At 56.8% G+C, this 17,709-nt stretch overlaps 1 protein-coding gene across 2 annotated transcripts, besides 1 other annotated feature; it reads right to left on the bottom strand.

The window, feature by feature from the left end:
- Nucleotides 1-17,709: part of a sequence alteration artifact (region identified as an assembly artifact by the Genome Reference Consortium. This region falsely duplicates sequence located at GRCh38 chr21:43376890-43571979) that runs on past both edges of the window.
- On the bottom strand, nucleotides 302-12,949 carry LOC102724428 (salt inducible kinase 1B (putative)). 2 transcript variants are annotated; one of them, NM_001320643.3, is made up of 14 exons: nucleotides 12,828-12,949; nucleotides 11,841-12,010; nucleotides 11,225-11,341; nucleotides 7,793-7,856; nucleotides 7,457-7,618; nucleotides 7,062-7,186; nucleotides 6,829-6,952; nucleotides 6,053-6,276; nucleotides 5,678-5,824; nucleotides 5,172-5,297; nucleotides 4,840-5,056; nucleotides 4,079-4,360; nucleotides 3,362-3,593; nucleotides 302-2,936 (listed from the first exon to the last, which is right to left on the bottom strand). In NM_001320643.3, the coding sequence occupies exons 2-14, from the start codon at nucleotides 11,994-11,996 to the stop codon at nucleotides 2,561-2,563; spliced, it is 2,352 nt and encodes a 783-aa protein (NP_001307572.1). In that variant the 5' UTR covers nucleotides 11,997-12,010; nucleotides 12,828-12,949; the 3' UTR covers nucleotides 302-2,560. The 2 variants fall into 2 exon arrangements, with proteins under 2 accessions (NP_001307572.1, XP_016883697.1); XM_017028208.2 differs by lacking the exon at nucleotides 5,678-5,824.

Genomic DNA, 17,709 nt, shown 5'->3' with positions numbered 1-17,709 from the left:
GAGAACCTGGCGGAGGATGGGGTAAGGATGGATGGTGCCGGCAGCCCCGGGCGGTGCTGAGACTTTCAGTGACTGAGCCCGGCCACTGGGGAAGGGTCCTGAGGAGGGGGCAGACCACGGGGCCACCTGTGGCTGCCGCAGGGGGAGGGGTCCTCTGCAGACGGAAGGCCATTAGTTCCCTGCAGTGAGGTGGAATGCAGGAGTTGGCTCCCTGCCCTCCTCTTTAAGATTTGAAACTTCTACAAGCCTGGAGGATGTGGCCTCTCAGGGAAGCCGCTTGGAAGGAAAGAGCTCCCAGAGAGATGAGAGAGAGAGGAAGGGAAAAAGTCAAGGTTTTTTCCTTCCAAATATTTTATTTAAATATTAAATTAAAAAACATACATCAACTAATCATTTGGCATACATTTCTCATGTTAACATAAGAGATAAAATAATTCAGTTATGGTAAAAAAAAAAACTATGTACATCTCAATCAGATCACGTAGTGTCTTTAAATAGGCTATTGCATTGCCGTCTGTATTACAGCACTGTCAAGAAATCTACAAAACACACATCACACACTCTTAAAAAAACAAGTAAAACACGCCTTTAACGTCCTCCAAAAGAGGTTCCACAGCAATAAGAAAAAACAAAAACCACCGTGAAAGTAAAGTGCTTGTCATTGCTTCAAAGAGGAAACACACAATGGTTTCTGAGGCCTTTGATCTATGGCATTAGAACAGAAATCATTTTAAAAAGGGGAAGGAGTTTTGTGTTGGAATCAATTGTGCTACCTCTGTAAAAATGAAGGCAAGGGCCTGGCTGCCCCAAGATGGTCTGGATTCTCTCCCATCCCAAAAACTTCTTTATGAGCGAACAGGAGACTTTGGTGTTTTCTCTGCGGCAAGGCACCTGGTCTGCCCTCCGGACAGCCTTTCGCCCAGTCTTTGAAACAGCCACAGAGCAGCAGCAGCAGCAGCAGCAGGAATGGGGGCAGCCAGCTTCCCTGCGGCCCGGCACAGGCACAGCCCCCGGTGGGCACCAGCAGGCCAGGGATGCAGCCTCCTGCACTGGGCCCGCCTCCCTACCCTCAAGTAACTGGGTCAATCTTTGGCTTTTAAAAATACCCGCCTTTCCCCTTTCTCAATGCCTCTGTTTAACACTGCAGGGTTTAAGAAGCCGAAGTAGCTGAAGGCACCTGGGCTGGGTTTGGGGGCGGGGACTGGACTCAGGGAGCAGCATTGCCTTCGTTGCCTTCCAAAGGCTTCTGGCTGGTGGAGCCCCACGGAGTCCACCTGCTAAAGGTGCGCCCAGACCTGCCAGGTAAGGGCCGCCCCTTCCTGCCGCCTCCACCCCAGTGCTGAGGGAGCGAAGGCCCTGGGGCCCCTTCCTCAATGCACACCTGTGCTGACAGGGACGCTTCTTAACAACAGGAGCGAGGGAAGCTGAAACCTGGAACACAAACGTGTAGTACAAAATGTAACAAATAAGTAGTGTCTACCTGTCTCCCATGTAGATACATATACAGGATTTGCTTTAAAAAAAAAACAAAAACTTAAAAACACTGACCTAAACCTCTCACTTTACCTTCCTTGAACAAAACCCAAAAAGCCTAGGTGGGGGGTGGGGAGGGGGGTCCCGGCCCAGGGCAGGCACCGCCCTGAGCCATGAGCCATGAGCCATGAGCCTGTCTCCCAGCTGCCCAGCCCTACAGTCAGCCTCCAATATTGCACAACTTCACCCAAGTCAGGTGTTCTTGTTGGACCCCATCATGAAATGCATAAACGTCAGCAGCAGCGGAAACGGGAGGTGCAGCAGGAAGAAGCTTCTGGGCTTCCGCAAGGGCACGCAGGGGCTCAGGGCCAAGTGACCCTCAGGACGGAGTCCCCAGCACTTTGAAGTCACCTCTGCCCTCTCTGAGGTTCTTCCTGCCGTTCCTCCGCAGAGTCCTGGAAAACTAATCCTTGAGCAGTTTATGAAACTTCTCAACTAAAATAAGAAAAAAAAGTCTTCCAGGTTTTGATTTCAGGGGAGAGAATTCCTAGAATCTGTAGATGATCTTTGCCTGGGCTGCTTTAAAACTGATACATGAAGCAGAAAGTTCACAGTTTTCCTTAAAGCAGAAATCAGGAAGTGGAGAGCGTTGACTAAAGAAATGGATAGTAATCAATGTACGCGCACACACACACACACACACACACACACAAGCGGACAACAATGCGCCCGCTCGTTTCCGTAGACGTCCGAGGTAATCATCTCAACCACGACGAACCCAGAGAGAGGGGCCGAGATCCCCACACCACGGCACTGCACGTGTTCCCTCCACCCCGCTCCCCTCCTGCCCCCGCCCCCAGACACGCCCCTCAATTATCTTTCTTCCTAAAGTTTCCAGTCCCTACTCAAAGTTGAGGTCACTCAGTGCAAGAAAAAAATAAAACAAAAATAAACTAAAAAGCCAAAACACCTAACGTATTGCTTATTTCGCTTCTAGAAAGTTCTTGGCTTTGAGGCCAGATGTCTTCACCTCCTCTGAAGTTATTGCTGTAAGAGTCAGTGTCCGTGCCAGGATGCAGGGCTGCCCTCACTGCACCAGGACAAACGTGCCTAGGGAGCAGGGCATCAGGTCCTCCATCTCACAGTCCCCCTGCAGCAGCCCCAGGGGCTCACAACCTGGGGCCAGCCTGGCCAGGCGTGGTGGGGGCACAGCGGGGAGGGCGGTGGGGCCGGTGCCAATGTGCAGGTGTGTGTCCAGGAGCTGCGCCGCTGAGGCCACCGGGGACGCGCCGGTCTGCAGGAGTGGGGGCGGCAGCAGCGGGAGCCCCGACGTGAGGAGGGTGCTGGGGAGCGGGGCAGCCCCAGGGCCATCACAGGGGGCGATCACAAACGGGGCAGGGGCCGGCTGGGGGGCCTGGGAGCAGCCGGGTGCAGCGGCCGGGTGGTGCTGTAACTGGAGCAGCCTGTGGGAACAGAGGACAGGTGGTCACTGCGCCGGCTCGCAGGGTTCTCGGGTTTCCGAGTGCCCGTGTGGCAGGGCCCGCCCGTGGAGCTGCCAGCCGCGGCTGCCGAGGGCAGGTGCGTGGCTGATCCCTGACCGCGCCCCACCTTTCATTCTCCACCCGGTTTCTCAGCAGCTCAGAGATGCGGCCACAAGGCGCCCTCGCTCCCCGCCACCCTCACCCACCCAGGGACTTTAAAGGACACGCCCGCCTGCTGCACCCCCATGGCTCAGCACCTAGGACCTACGCCCCACACATCTCCCTGGCTGGGAGCGGGGGTGTGCACTGGGCTACAGAGAGGAGGGAACCACTTAGCAGATGAGGTTCCTCGAGGAGATAACCTGCCGTGTGCCCACCCGGGGTCCCAGGGCGGGGGCAGGCCCTACCTCTGCTGCTCTAGCACCTCCTCCAGCAGGCTCCAGCCCTCCCGGCTGCCGGCTGCGCCGCCGTGCAGGCCTGGGCTCTGTGCAGGGGCGTGGAAGGGGCTCAGGCCGCCCCTGCTGGCCCGGCTGGCAGGGACCTGGCACACCTGGCGAGCCAGCCCCTTGATTTTGTTCAGTCCCAGAAACCCTTTGGTCCGCGTGGTCTTCCTCAGCTGCTGCCGAAAGGCCTTCAGCCCTGCAGGGAGAATGAATCAGGAGGTCAACGGCCACCCGGCTCTCAGCCCAGCATCCACGGCCCTTGGCTTAAGGGGTTTCCAAGCCTCAGGTTGGGGGTAAGGAAAGGACGGGTGACACAAGCACGTCTGGACAGGAGTCTGGCACCTAAGCCCCAGGATGGCGTGGAGGCAGCTGGCAGCCAGGGGCCCTCCCTCCTCCAAGTCGGGAGGTGCTGCCCAGCACAGAGTCGTCTCCTGTGCTTTCAGAACCAGCCATGGAGGCCGCGTGCTCAGGGACCCATGTGTGTCTATCCCAGCAGGCCGTGACGCCCCGAGCCACCAGAGCACTGAGCACCCCAGCCTGCCCAGAGCACTGAGGGTCCCACCCAGGCCCGGTGGAGAACAGGGGGTGCCATCTGCCATCACGGACAAAGTCACGTACTGCCAGAGACACACATGGTCCCCTGGGGAAGGTGGAGGTAAGTGTGGGAGGAGCGTGGCTCACCTTGAGTCAGTGAGGTGTCCGACGCCCGCCGTCCCTCCTGGAAGCTGACAGGGAGCAGAACAGCTCCTCCCAAGCCCCCCTGAGCCTGCAGCACTGGGGTGGCGGACTGCGACCCCAGGAAGGGCGAGGCCAGCCTGACCGGGGAGCAGGCGCCCAGCAGCCCCTGAGTGGCCGGGGTGCCACTGAGCCCCGCGGGGCTTTTGCTCGCAGAGAAGGTCAGACAACTGTCAGAGCTGGTTCCCTCTGCAGGACTTGCCGTGGTGGAGGGGGAGACGACTATACCTGTGGGGGGAGGACAGCGCTTTTGATGCTGCAGTGCAAAGGAATAGGCTCCCCCGGCCACTGCTGGGCACACATGGCTGCGCTGGCCTCCCCATCCCCACCATCAACCTGGTGGGAAGAGGGCTCGAGGCCACCAGAGCCCAGGGAGCCACAAAGGCAAGCCACCATCACGGTGCAGCTGCAGGGGGCAGGTCATAGTGGGCCTCAGGCCAAGGGGCTGCCCTCCCGGCACCCAGGGGCGGCCTGGGGAGGACCCTGCTGGAGGCCAGACCCCATGCTGTATCCTCCACTGGAACGACCACATGCAGGGCAGGCTCTAAACATCAACTGTGTGGTCTCAGGGATTAAAACAAATGGCAAATCCTGAGAAGTCCAACCTGAGAGGCTGCCGGGCAAAACGTCCATTCTAAATTAGCCCACCCTCACGTCGACCGTAAGCCTATCCACCGGTGTCCTCCTGGGCCCCCGGGGACACTTACATGGCGCGGTGAGTGGGGAGAGGCGGGTGGAGACCTCGGCCAGGGTGTGCCTCCGGCCCGTGCTGCTGGGCAGGGACTCCTGCGTGTCCTGCTCCTCCTCTAGGCCCGGCCCCTGCCTGGCCTCCTCACTGATGGCTGTGTCCAGCAGGCTGCTTGGGGACACGGGCCGGGGCCGGAACACTCCGCTGCAGCTGGCATCCACCGGGAAGAACAAGGGCTGCGTTGGAGAGACACAAGCCAGTGACTTCTCGGACTCCAGGTGACCCGGGCACACCGGGGGCACCAGGGCTGGGCTGAGGCGAGCCCTCTGCACACCCGCTGTGGGCACTCACCCACTGCAGCGAGCTCTGGAGCTCACAGTCCATCTCGGCCTGGAGGACGGACTGCACCAAGGTCTGCGGCTGCGGGCACAGCAAGGCAGGTCGGAAAGGGTCGGTGGAAAGACCTTCCTGAGGCACCTGGGGCCGGCAGACGGGAAAGACGCTGTCAGGGGAGCGACTCCGGACCACCAGCGCCATCAAGAGAAGAAACAAGCTGGCTTCTGTCTGGAGTGCAAGCTGCCTCGCTGGTGGGCATGACAGCTGACGGAGGGACACTGGCTGGCCAGGCTGGGCTCAGGACCAGGTGCTGGTGCTGCGCTGCCAGAAGGTGGCGTGACAGGCCGGCCCCAGGGATGAGTCAGGGACAAGTGGCCTCTGGGCAGAGTCCAGCCCCCAGCAGCTGGCACCCCCTTCCCCACGAGGCCTGGGACCCGCTGCCCACGCAAGGAACCGCCCTCCAAGCCGGTGCCTGACAGGGGAGGGAGCCTGGGGCCTGGGAGGAGACTCCTCCCCCTCACCTCCAAACCACTGAGGTCCGAGCTCCGAGGCCGCGGCTGCCTGGCAGGCCCGGGGCGGGCGCACTGGGCATTCCGATACTCCTTGAGCCGCTCAAGGAGGAGGTAATAAATGGCAGCAAAGTGGTTATAGCTGCTGTTTTGCAGTGACTGGGAACAAGAGGAGCAGAGATCAGCATGGGGATGGCGGGGAGCCCCAGGGCCCACCCGATCCCAGGTTATTCTTGGGTGACTGAGAATATCCTTTAGTGGGGTGGACAAGCCGGCCCCTAAATTAGCCTGTGCTCCCGTTTTAACTCAGCTGGTGAGTGCCTGCTTCCCCTGAGACAGCTGCCTAGCCCCTGCGGGTGAGGCCAGGGCAAGTGTGGCCAGGCTCACCTCCACCGTCCTCTGCCGGTCCACGCCCAGGGTCTGCATGATACCCAGCGCCTGCTCATCGTAGTCGCCCAGGTTGGAGGTGTAGCTGTGTGCGGAGAAGGCGGGGCAGGCGGGTCCCGGCAAGCAGGGCTCAGCCCGCATCCACCGGTGCTGCCGGATCTGGGCGATGGTGATGCGCCTGGCGGGGTCCACCACCAGCATGCGGCGGATCAGGCTCTCACAGTCTGTGGAGGGGCCAGGAGGCTGAGCCAGGGCGGCCGGGACCTCGGCTGCGCTCCCACCCACCGCCCCACGTGGTTTGACACGCCAGGGCCCAGGAGCAGGGGCCGGGCCATCGGCTCAGTCCTGCCACCCAAGGGGAGCCATCAGCCAGGGATCCAGACCCTGGGGGCTGCCACACTTTGTGTCCACCACACAGAGAACCACTTAGGTTCACCCTTCTGCCGTGCCCCACACCTGAGCACCAGGTGGACAGGCATCTTTATGACACAGAAAAGCCGGGTGAGCCACAGCCAGTGGGTTGGACTCAGGGATGATGCCAGCACCCTGGGTGCGGGTACTGGGCGGGGACGGCAGGCGCAAGGCACAAGCCTGTGCAGCAAGGGCACCCGTCCACCCTCGAAATAGGGCACTGAGAAGGCATCCATGGGCTGGGTTTCTCCCGCAGCCCACAGTAACCTGGGCCTGATTCCCAGACTCAACAAGGACTCAGAAGCCAGCCACGAAGGGGCTGCAGGAGACACAGGCCCCTGCCCAGGCGAGACCACACGACTCACCTTGAGACATGAAGAAGGGGATGCGGAAGCGGCCCTCCAGCACCCGCTGTCTCAGCGTCGGCAGGTTAGGCCCATCGAAGGGGAGAGAACCGCAGACCAGGACGTACAGCACCACGCCCAGGCTCTGTTGAGGACCACAGAGCCACATCAGCGCCAGGGCGGTGCCCCCGGGAACACGGCGCCCTCGGGGAACGCGGCCTCGGGAAGGGGGTCTGCGCGCACAGGGCTCCTACCCAGATGTCCAGCTGGGGGCCTTCATACTCCTTCCCCTCAAAGACTTCCGGGGCGGCATACGGGGGGCTCCCACACCACGTGGACAGAGGCTCTCCTGACTTGTAGAAATTCCCAAATCCAAAATCTGAGCGGCAAAGAAACAGATGGATGAGGTTAAACGGCAAATGGCAAGGGGCTGCGGTTTCGGCACAGGGGCTGTGGTTTCGGCACATGCCGGGAAGCTGGGGCTGCTTGCGGGCACACTCCCACCCCGGGGCCTCCGTGCCTGCCAGCTTGATGTCCCTGCTCCCACCCCGGACCCTCCGTGCCTGCCAGCTTGATGTCCCTGCTCCCACCCCAGACCCTCCGTGCCTGCCAGCTTGATGTCCCTGCTCCCACCCCGGACCCTCCGTGCCTGCCAGCTTGATGTCCATGTTGCCATCCAGCAGGAGGTTCTCGGTCTTGAGGTCCCGGTGGACGATGTGATGGTCGTGACAGTACTCCACGGCCGACAGGATTTGCCAGAACTTCTTCCGCGCCTCGTTCTCACTCAGGTGCCCGTTGGAAGTCAAATAATCTGAGGAGCCACAAAACAAAGCTACAGCCCCCAGGGCAAAGCCTGCCCACCACCCATGGAGCCCTGGGGAACACCGCGGGGTCCTGGGATGTGTGGCCCAGACACTGGCCGCGCAAATCCAGACGCGTTCGTGCCATTGGTTTTCAACAGATACTGAAAACGAGTGTGGCTTACCAAACATTTCTCCATTTTTAGCAAATTCAGTGACGATGTAAAGCATGTCCTTTGTTTCCATAACCTAAAGAAGAAAGACCTGACATTTAACCGCACAAAAAAGGCACAAGGCAGCGCTACAAACCATCCACCAGAACCCCAGGAAATTTCTAACTTCTCTAGGACAAAGGCATTCATCATTTAAAAATGCAAAGAAAAAGAAAAATTTCTCAAATAAAAAAAAAATAGGAGATTCCTACTCACAAAGACAGCTTTGAAAAATCAGAGGTGAATTCCTCACTGACTTGCCTATCCTGATACACCTTTGCTCTCACAAAAGGTCTAAATATATTAGAATTCCCCTCTGTGGTCATATTTAATTCAAGACACCTCACATACAATTTGAGAATGCTTAGGCCGGGGCATGGTGGCTCACGCCCTGTAATCCCAGCACTTCGGGAGGCCAAGGCAGGAGAATCGCTTGAGTTCGAGACCAGCCTGGTCAACACGGCAAGACCCCATCTCTACAAAAAATACAAAAACTAGCTAGGTGAGGTGGTGGGCACCTGTAATCCCAGCTACTCAGGAGGCTGAGGCAAGAGGATCATTCGAACCCGCAAGGCGGAGGTTGCAGTGAGCCGAGATCGTACCACTGCACTCCAACTTGGGCGACAGAGCGAGACTCCATCTCAAAAAAGGAGAGACAGTATTCTGAAGGCTACAGAGGAGGAGATTGCTGGAAGTCTGCTGGGCTTTATAGAAGCCTAGTAGGCAACAGATGATTCCAGCCAACGGTCAGAGCCACCTGGGTAATAGAGAATGCACACCCCATTCCCACTCGCTTGATTGACAGGATGAATGACGCTGTGGGAACCCAGCTTTATTGACAGGATGAATGAGGCTGTGAGAATCCAGCCTCATTCACTCAGCATGTAGCCATTCACTCAGCATGTAGCCACACAACAGCCATGCCAACATAGCCCTTTGAAGTTCATTCACTAATCAATAACTTTATTTTACTTAAAAAGAGATTTAAAAATATAACTTATGTCTGTGAGTATTGAAAAATTTTGGAGAGGATGAGGCAATATATTCTTATGAAAAAAGATTTTTTTGGGTTCAAAATATAGTTATTCCTTTAAAAAGATGCTTTGTGCTGGAGGTGGTGGCTCATGCTTGTAATCCCAGTACTTTGGGATCACCCAGGCTGATCACTTGAGGTTAGGAGTTCGAGACCAGCCTGGTCAACATGGTGAAACCCCATCTCTACTAAAAATACAAAAATTAGCCAGGTGTGGTGGCGCGTGCCTGTAGTCCCAGCTACTTGGGAGGCTGAGGTAGGAGAATCGCTTGAACCCAGGAGGTGGAGGTTGCAGTGAGTCACGATCCATAGCGCCACTGCACTCCAGCCTGGGCGACAGTGAGACTCCATCTCAAAAAAAAAAAAAAAAAAAAAGATGCTTCAAAGATTGCTGCTTTGAGTTATAAATCTAAAAAGAAAAGTGTTCTATAAATTCTAGCAGTTTGGCAAGAATTTTAACTGCCCCGCCCCTGTGGGTGGTACAATAACTCTAAGACCACTGCTGACCCGTCCCCAACTGAAGAAAGGGAGGAGGAGGAAAAGAATTAAAAGTCAAAGTGTTTGAACTTTTTGAAAACTTGAAAAAAAGAGGGAAGTGTCTCAGCAGGGTTCTGGGGCCCCGGCCAGCGGAATGAAAATTAGACACTAGTGGCCGGGCGCGGTGGTTCATGCCTGTAATCCCAGCACTTTGGGAGGCCGAGGCGGGCGGATCACAAGGTCAGGAGATCCAGACTATCCTGGCTAACACGGTGAAACCCTGTCTCTACTAAAAATACAAAAAATTAGCTGGGTGTTGTGGCGGGCGCCTGTAGTCCCAGCTACTTGGGAGGCTGAGGCAGAAGAATTGCTTGAACCCAGGAGGCGGCAGTTGCAGTGAGCCGAAATCGCGCCACTGCACTCCAGCCTGGGTGACGGACAGAGACTCCGTCTCAAAAAAGAAAAAAAAAAAAAAGACAGGAAGAAAGAAAGAAAAGAAAGAAAATTAGACATTAGCATCAAAACCAGAGGAGTAAAAGTCATTGCTACACCACTGAATTCTATCATCTCCCAACAGTTAAGAATCACATACAGCAGCAGTAAGAAAATGCACCTCCAGAAAAGACCTCAGCAGCAAACACATGGGCAATTTGTTTCTTTAACGGAGCTAATTCCACACAATGGGCAAAGGAGAAGAACAGGAAGAAAAGGAAGGTACTACCATTAGGGTTCAGCCCTTGAGCAAAGTCAAAAACAAAACCAGCTCAGCCCACTCCTGAGGAAATGGGCTGGGCACGCTGCACAGGCAGTACACCAGTGGCCATGGAGCACACAACTTAAAAATGACAACAGAAACAAAACACAAACCAGGCGCACACGGCATGAATTCTGTGCTTAAAGACACTGAGCAAACTGTCGTAAGCTCCACCAATACTGCTACTTTTATTTTCAATCTAGTGCAGAGGCTTTTGGGGGATAATTTCGAATCATAATTCTCTCTCCTACCACACTGTACACCGAGCTGTCCTAATTGCACAAACACACACAACAACATCCCAGAGTCATCTCACATTCCATTTCATAAGAATCATTACGAGGAACTTCAACCCAACACAAATGGATGAAATAGCACCTGCAAAGAACTTCTTCTGCAAGAAGACTTGATTTCACCTTGCAAAAGTGGTCATTTGTCATTAGGGAGGTGTAAATGATTGCTTTGCTGTTCTAATTAAATTAGTACTTATTTCCTGATGATATAATTTATTAATTTCAACATGAGAACAAAAATTAAGTCACAAAATAAACCAACAGAGAGACAGGGCAAGCCATGTTCCTAGCATGGATTAAATGACAAGCTCCTTGCTCTTACTATGGAAAAGTATTTTCATCTCTCCGTTTTTCATGGAAGAGTTTAAATAGGGAAAACAAATGCTCACTACTGTCCTTGCAAAAATAAACTAATGAAAACCAGTAAGAGCAGCTGGCTTTAAAGTTTAATAATTATCTGCAAAGGCAGAAGTTTCCAGTTTCACTCAAATTTGTCCTTTTATACTAAATGCGTGACCTGTGGCAATACCTACAGATAAGTTTGTCTGTTTTCATAGTAAAGCAAATTTACAACAGACTTCTACACATTTAAAACTGGATCAGGTTAGGATACTAAATAAAATTCTAATGAAGCAAATCTCAATTATGATCCAAAAGCAATAAAATAATTGTAAATATATCTGCACAGCCTATAAAAATCAATCTATTTACCTTATACAACCAAATGCCCAACTTCCACACACTCCCCAAAAGGGAAGCCACCTTCAGAAATTGCAGACTTATGCTGTTGGAAATAAAATATAACACATTTGCCAGGATTAGCAGAGAAAGGCAAGCTGACCCCTTACCTGGTAAAGCTTTATGATGTGTGGATGGTTCAGAAGCTTCATCAGCTGAACCTCACGATAGATTTTCTCCAAATTGCTTGAATCTAATCGTGTTTTATCAATTATTTTTATTGCAACCTACAAATTTAAAAAGAAAAAGGATATTCTGTGGGTTTTTTTAAAAAAAGAAAAGAAACCCTCAACCTAATTTACACATTTCATTTTTTGCAAGTTAATTTCTCAACACTCTGTCTCCAGAAGGTCACAAGAAGTTGGGAAAACATAACCAAAGTAACCACTAATGTTATTTAAAATAATCAGAGTTAAGTAAGTGACTTAAGTATTTGCAGGCTCACTTTACAGGGTTTAGCTCTGAGTCCATGAACCACTGCAATCTTAGGTTGGTCCTTTTTTTTGCTATTATCCTCTCTGCTTTCTCCCAATATATGTCCAAATTATGCAGCAACATAATATAAAGCATTATTTTTCTTTACCGAACTAAAAACGGTTACTATTTACCCACCACGACAATCAAGCCTGGAGCAGTGAATCTGCATGGGGTCCACCCGCCAAAGGTCGGGTCGCCCCGGGTCCAGTGGGGAGGCCCCGCCGGCTGGGTCCCACCGCCCCCACGCACCTGCGTTTTGGTGACTCGATGCCGCGCCAGCTTCACCACCGCGAAGTTGCCTTTGCCCAGGGTCCGCTCGATGTCGTAAAAACCCACCCGGAGGGGCTTCTGCTGGCCCTGACCCTGGCCCGCGGGGTCCGCGCTGAACTCCGACATGATAACCATGGCTCCGCGCGCACCTGCGGGGCCGCACAGAGCTCAGAGCCCACCAGCGCCCCCGCCGCCCGCGGTCGGCTCCATCCGTGCCCGCGGAGCCCCCAGTCCCCACGGGACGCAGGGACCTGCTCCCACGCCTGTCGCCCCCACTCTATCCACGGGCCCCTCCAGCCCCGTGGGAGGTGTGGACCCGCCCCCGCCGCCCGCTCCACCCGGACCCCCGACCCTCTTGAGCCCCGCGGGGCGCACGGACCCGCTCTCATAGAGGCCCCTGCCGCCCGAGTCCGGTTCCGTCCCGATCCCGGGACCCCCTGAGCCGGGATTCCACACTCGCCTCCCGCCGCCCGCTGTCGGTTCCGTCCCCACCCTCGACCCCTTTAGCACCTCTGGGCGCGGACCCGCTCCCACACCTGGCCCTGCCACCCGAGGTCGGCTCGATCCGGATCCCAGGACCGTCCCCTGCCCCGCTCCCACACCCTGCCCCCGCCGCCCGCGATCCGTCCGGTCCCCACCCCCGACATCCCAGGCACCTCGGGGATCGCGGACCCGCCCCCCACACCCGGTCTCTCCGCCCGCGGTCGGCTCCAACCTGACCCCCGGCTCCCCAGCCCCTGAGCCCCGCGGACTCACTCCTACCCCGGCCCCCCAACAAAGGGGAGCCCGAGGGCGGCCAGGCCGCCAACCCCGCCCGCGAACCCCGCGCGCGCAAGGCCAGGGACCCTGCGCGGTGGCTGCAACCCCGAGCCCCGGCCCGGCGCCCGCGCGGAGCCCCCACGGCGGCCACCTCCGCCCGCCCGGAGCCCGCCGCTGCCGCCGCTGCCGCCGCTGCCGCCGCCTCACCTCCGCCGCCACCGGAGCGCCCAGGCCAGGAAGCCGCCCGCTCGGCCGCTGGCGCTGCTCGGGTGCCTACTGCTCCGGCTGCCGCCGCCGCTGCTGCTGCCTCCGGGGCCGCGCCGCATGTCAGCCCGGAGCCGCCGCGCTCCGCCGCACGCGGCGCCCGGCCCCGCCCCGGCCCGCCCCGGCCCGCCCCCCGTAGTCCCCGCCCCCTGCCCCGCCCCCGCCGCCCGGGCGGGGGCCGCCCATTGACGTCGCTTTGACGCCAGAGCGACGCGCGGCCGAGCGCCGGGCGGAGGGAGAGCGGGAGATCGGGCGGTTGCCAAGAGACTGGCGGCTCTGACGCGCGCGGGATGAGGCCGTTGCCCTGGCGACCGCGGGCCGGTGACGTCAGGGGCGCCCGCCGCCCGAGGCCCGCCCGCCTGCGCTCCGCCGGGCGCCCCCTCCCGGGCGCTGGGGGCACTGCGGGCGGCCCCACCGCCGAGGGCGCGCCCGCCCCTCCACGCTCGGGCACTCGGGCCGGGTCCCGCGGGCGCCTTGTGCTCGCTCCCTCCAGGAGGGGACGGCTCTCGGGCAGGGGTCGCCGGCCCCTCCACGCGGCCTGCGTTCGTCCAGACTCAGAGCCTCGGGACGTGCGGGGGCCCGGGGGCCTCGCGGGCTCGCGCGTGGGGCTGGCGGCGCGGATGCCCTGGGGCGCTGCAGACCCCGAGAGGCCGCTTGCCCGCGGGGACGTCAGCCGCTTTTGCTGTTAAAATCTGAAATGTTCAGCAAGTTAGAAACTTGAAACCTAAGGAAGCGTGACCGGCCGCTCTGGAAGCCCCCGCCGCGCGGCCGGTCCCGGCCCCGGCCCTCAGCGGCGCTGGCGTCTGCGCGTCCCGGGGCTGCCCCCGCAGCATGTGGGGCTGGGACCCTCTTCCCGCGCGGGCCCCGGGCGGACGCTGCGGGCGGTGACGGAGCCAGGCCGGCCGCCTGGGTAGGGGACGGGGGCGCGGGACCACTTGCTTGCCCGTGGCCGATGCCTCATCCGAACGGAAAACGTTTTCTTCAGGGGAGACAGAGGCTGTGGGCGAAGGTATTTTTTAAGCCTGAGGACCCATTTGGGAGTTAGATTCTGGATCGAGCCTAGGGTCAGTTTTCCTTGTGTTAAATAACACTACTTCACAGAAGGGGGAACGAGAATTCAGGGAAGTTGGCACAAAACTTGGAACCCTTCTCGGGAGGCTTTCCTGCCTGGACGGACGCCTGGGAGGAGGGCCCGGAGAAACGAGGATGAGCTTCTCCTCATTCGCCCGAGGGTCTGACCACAGATTTCCCAATCGACACACACACACACACACACACACACACACACATACACACACACGGGTTGTTTGGGAGTCAGTTGGTTTTCAAAGGCTTTCAAGGAAATGAAGAGTCCCAAAGTTTTCCTTAATCGTTCAGAGTGTTTTTCTTTGTCCCAGGTTTATATACCAAGAATACGGGGGAATATTTTTAGTTCCTTTCAGCTGAACAGTGTACAACTGCCTTTTTTCCTTTTGGAGGTCCCAACACCCTGTTAATCCGCTCCTAGGAGAACTAAACAAAAACAAGGCTGGACGTCGTGTCTCCCGCCTGTAATCCCAGTGCTTTGGGAGGCTGAGGCAGGAGGATCAGTTGAGCTCAGGAGTTTGAGACCGGCTTGGTTAACATAGCAAGACCTCACCTCTATAAAATACTTTTAAAATAGCCAGGTGTGGTGGCACACGCCTGTGGGGCCGGCTACTTGGGAGCCTGAGGTGGGAGGATGGCGTGAGCCTGGGAGGTTGAGGCTGCAGTGAGCTGTCATTGCACCACTGCACTCCAGCCTGAGCAAGAGAACAAGGCCCTGTCTCAAAAAAGAACAAAGATAAAAGGCGGGGTGGGGGAGAAACCAGGCCCCTGATCACACTCACCATTCAGTCCCTCAGCCTGTGACTTGAAATACTGCCCCCCGCATCCAGGAAGCAGGCTTCCCCACCCCTCCCACCCTAGCCAGAGTCTTCCAAAAGGTCTTAGGTATTTGCAAACACCTGGCTGGCTGTTTGGAAACATTGCATCAGCACCAAATAAAAACTGCAGCCAAAACTGCCTCCGCAGAACAGGTCCCCAAACTCAGGTGCACTTGACCTTTCACCCTGACCCAGCCCTGAGCTTCCAAAACCCAGAACAGCCCTGTGCCAACCATGGCCATCCTGTTTTCCCTTCCCTGGGCCCGTGGGCAAGGAGCTCGCTCTGCAGAGAAAGGCAGGAAGCACAGAGGAAAAGGCCAAGCTTGGAACGGCTGTCCCGTCTCCCCACTGGGGGAACCCCTGGCACCCTCATAACTAAGTCTGTGCTTCAACCTGGTCTCTGTTACCCAATGTCTTTTGTTGTTGTTTGTGTCCTTGACCCCCCGAGGCTGTATTTCCTCTCAGAAGCTTTGATTTCTTTTCTGTTTTCTGGTCTTCCGTGCCTTTAACACGAGGAAAAATAAAACACATGGTGTGAGTGTAAGGATGGTACAAGCAAATGATTGGAGAAGCTCCTCACTGAACATAATGGAAGGAATGCTCCCAAAGTCTGCAGGAACGGTACTTTATTATTATGGTTTGCATATTATTACAGATTTGTGGAAAACGGCAAGTCAGTTTTCCTTTCCACATGGACTTTCTTCAGCTTGTCTTATGATTGCCGTGTTTCTGGAGTTCATCTTGTTTTTTAGGCCTTAAGACTGGAAACCCCAACAGGAAATGGGTCCATTTATTATTCATAGTTGTAACGCTGGCCACTGGCATGTCACAAAACTCTCAAAATCAATTGATAAACACAGAGAATGGAGCGTGGGGCAGCATTTTTGCAAAGGGATGGGTGCCCAGCTGGCCCCAGTGCCGCCCTCTGTGAGGAAGGAATCTCCCAGTGCAGCCAGGAGTCAGACGAGTTCCTCTTCCCGACCCTACCCTCCCATCTTCGACGCCTAAGGCCCTTCCCTGTCTTCCTGGCTTTGCTTCAGGTGGTTTTGTACTTTTTAAATTTTGTTTTGGTTTGTTTAGGCTTCAGCCTAGCGGCTTTAGGTGCCAGAAAATCAGATTAACCACTGCAGCGGCATCCTTCTCAGGGACCCGGGGGCCACGTTGGTCATTTTGCCCCATTGTATCTGGAGAGCTTGACAGACAGACATGTGTGCACTAGGTCAGGAAGCCACGGCCCTGGCCTGGGAAGAGGGCAGGTAGGAGAAAAGCCCCCAGCCCCCTCCACCCTCAGGGAATGGCCCAGTTGTCCACAGGTTAAGTCAAGAATCCCCCGCGAACAGGTCAAACCAGAGACTGCCCAGTCCCAGCGTCCGCCCCCAGGGCATTGCTTCCTTCACCTCCTACACTTGGCTCCCTGTGGTTCCGTGGCTGCCACAGTTGTGTGGATCCTACCGGGCCCAGGGCCCCTCCCCATCTCAGACAGCACCCACTTTCAGGCTAGGCCTTCCACGGGCTGCTTAAATGGACCACGAAGGCCGGCAAAGCAGCAGAAACGTGCCTGTTCACGGGCCAGTCGGCCCTCCCCGCTCCAGCCCTCTAGGGTTTCTGGTTCCGGTTTCTGTCGCTGCCGTTAGTGAGGAATTATTCATGTGGCCAATGCGTTTTCTTGACATTTAAGCAGGGCTGTGGCCGATATCAAGGCTGAGGACCCAAGAGGCCTTTGGGTGTCTGTGTCCCTGAGCCATATGCTGAGGTCGGACGGCGGGGGAGGGGGGTGCAGGAAGGGGCCAGCCCCAGCGAGAGTCAGCCAGGCCCCAAACAGAGCCAGGGGTTCCCCCGGGGGGGAGTGCTCACTTAGGAAGAGCACCATGGACAGCCTGGCAGGAGGTCACCCTGTGCTGAGCAGGCAGCTCTGGAGTAAACCACCTGCCTCTCTGTAGGAAGAAGGAAACCGCATCCGCAAACGGAGCAAAGGTCCCCAGAGGCAGAGCAGAAGCCTCTGGGATGCTGCAGCTTTGTGCAGACACTGGGGACCAGGACTGGAGCAGGTGCTGGCCGTGCTCTTTATCCTGGGCACTCTGCCAGGGCCACACGGAGCGTGGCTCCCGGGAGATGGAGACGTCTGAGTGTCAGCTCAGGTCTCGGTGTTTCCAGGTGACATGCTGGCTGCTAGTGTAGAGCATGGTAAACCATCTTTTTTTTTTTTTGGTTACTATTTACTTATGCAAAATAATGTGAGTTTCTGCCATTTGCAACAAGTGTGCCAGCTGCAATGAGTCAGCGGGTGGACACAGGTGAGCATGGCCAGACTGTGCCAGAACATGGTGACAGACAGACATGCTTCGAAGTTCACTGTGGGAAGGGACAGGTCCCCAGAGAGAGGTGAGACGGTGCAACGCGAGGGTGAGTTCGGAGTCGTCCTCCAGATGTCCACAAAGGCTCGAGAGGCCCTGCTGTGTGTCAGGCACTGCGTGAAGGTTGTGGGCACAGTAGGAGGGACACAAGACACCTTCTCTCGAGGACCGTTGGTTCCAGTTGCGGAGACAGTAACAGCATAAGATGATGAGTAAGAAAAGAATGCTGGCAGGAAAGTGGCCATGGAGGGAACTGCTTCCGGGCCTCTCCGTGGGATTTGCCAGGCGTGGACTGAGCGAGGACCTTCCCTGAGAACACCAACTGCTCCAGGAGAGAGAAGAGGTGGAGCCCCGGCGGGGGGCATGGGGCAGGAGGCAGCCACCCACACCTTCCCTCTCTGAATGCTGAGCAGAGGCTCTCAGCAGAGGGGAAGAAGAGCAGAGGCCACGATTGGGAAGACAGACCCAGTGGGGGTCCTTGGCGCCGTCCACATCCATCTGCAACCTGCTGCCCAGCGCCTGCCTGCCCGGGGTGTGCACAGAGCAGTGTGGTCTGTCCCGGCTTCA

Source organism: Homo sapiens, chromosome 21 (assembly GCF_000001405.40).
Source record: "Homo sapiens chromosome 21, GRCh38.p14 Primary Assembly".
Classification (NCBI taxonomy): domain Eukaryota; kingdom Metazoa; phylum Chordata; class Mammalia; order Primates; family Hominidae; genus Homo; species Homo sapiens.
The sequence above is the reverse complement of the archived record's forward strand: the minus strand, read 5'-3'. Positions and strand labels throughout refer to the sequence as shown.

Excerpts from the sequence above, each read along its gene's own strand:
- LOC102724428 (NM_001320643.3), bottom strand. The coding sequence starts at position 11,996 with ATGGTTATCATGTCGGAGTTCAGCGCGGACCCCGCGGGCCAGGGTCAG. Across the intron at positions 4,361-4,839 it reads CTCCCCACTCACCGCGCCAT|GTATAGTCGTCTCCCCCTCC; the intron begins GTAAGTGTCCCC and ends CTCCCCCCACAG. Across the intron at positions 2,937-3,361 it reads GAGGTGCTAGAGCAGCAGAG|GCTGCTCCAGTTACAGCACC; the intron begins GTAGGGCCTGCC and ends CTGTTCCCACAG.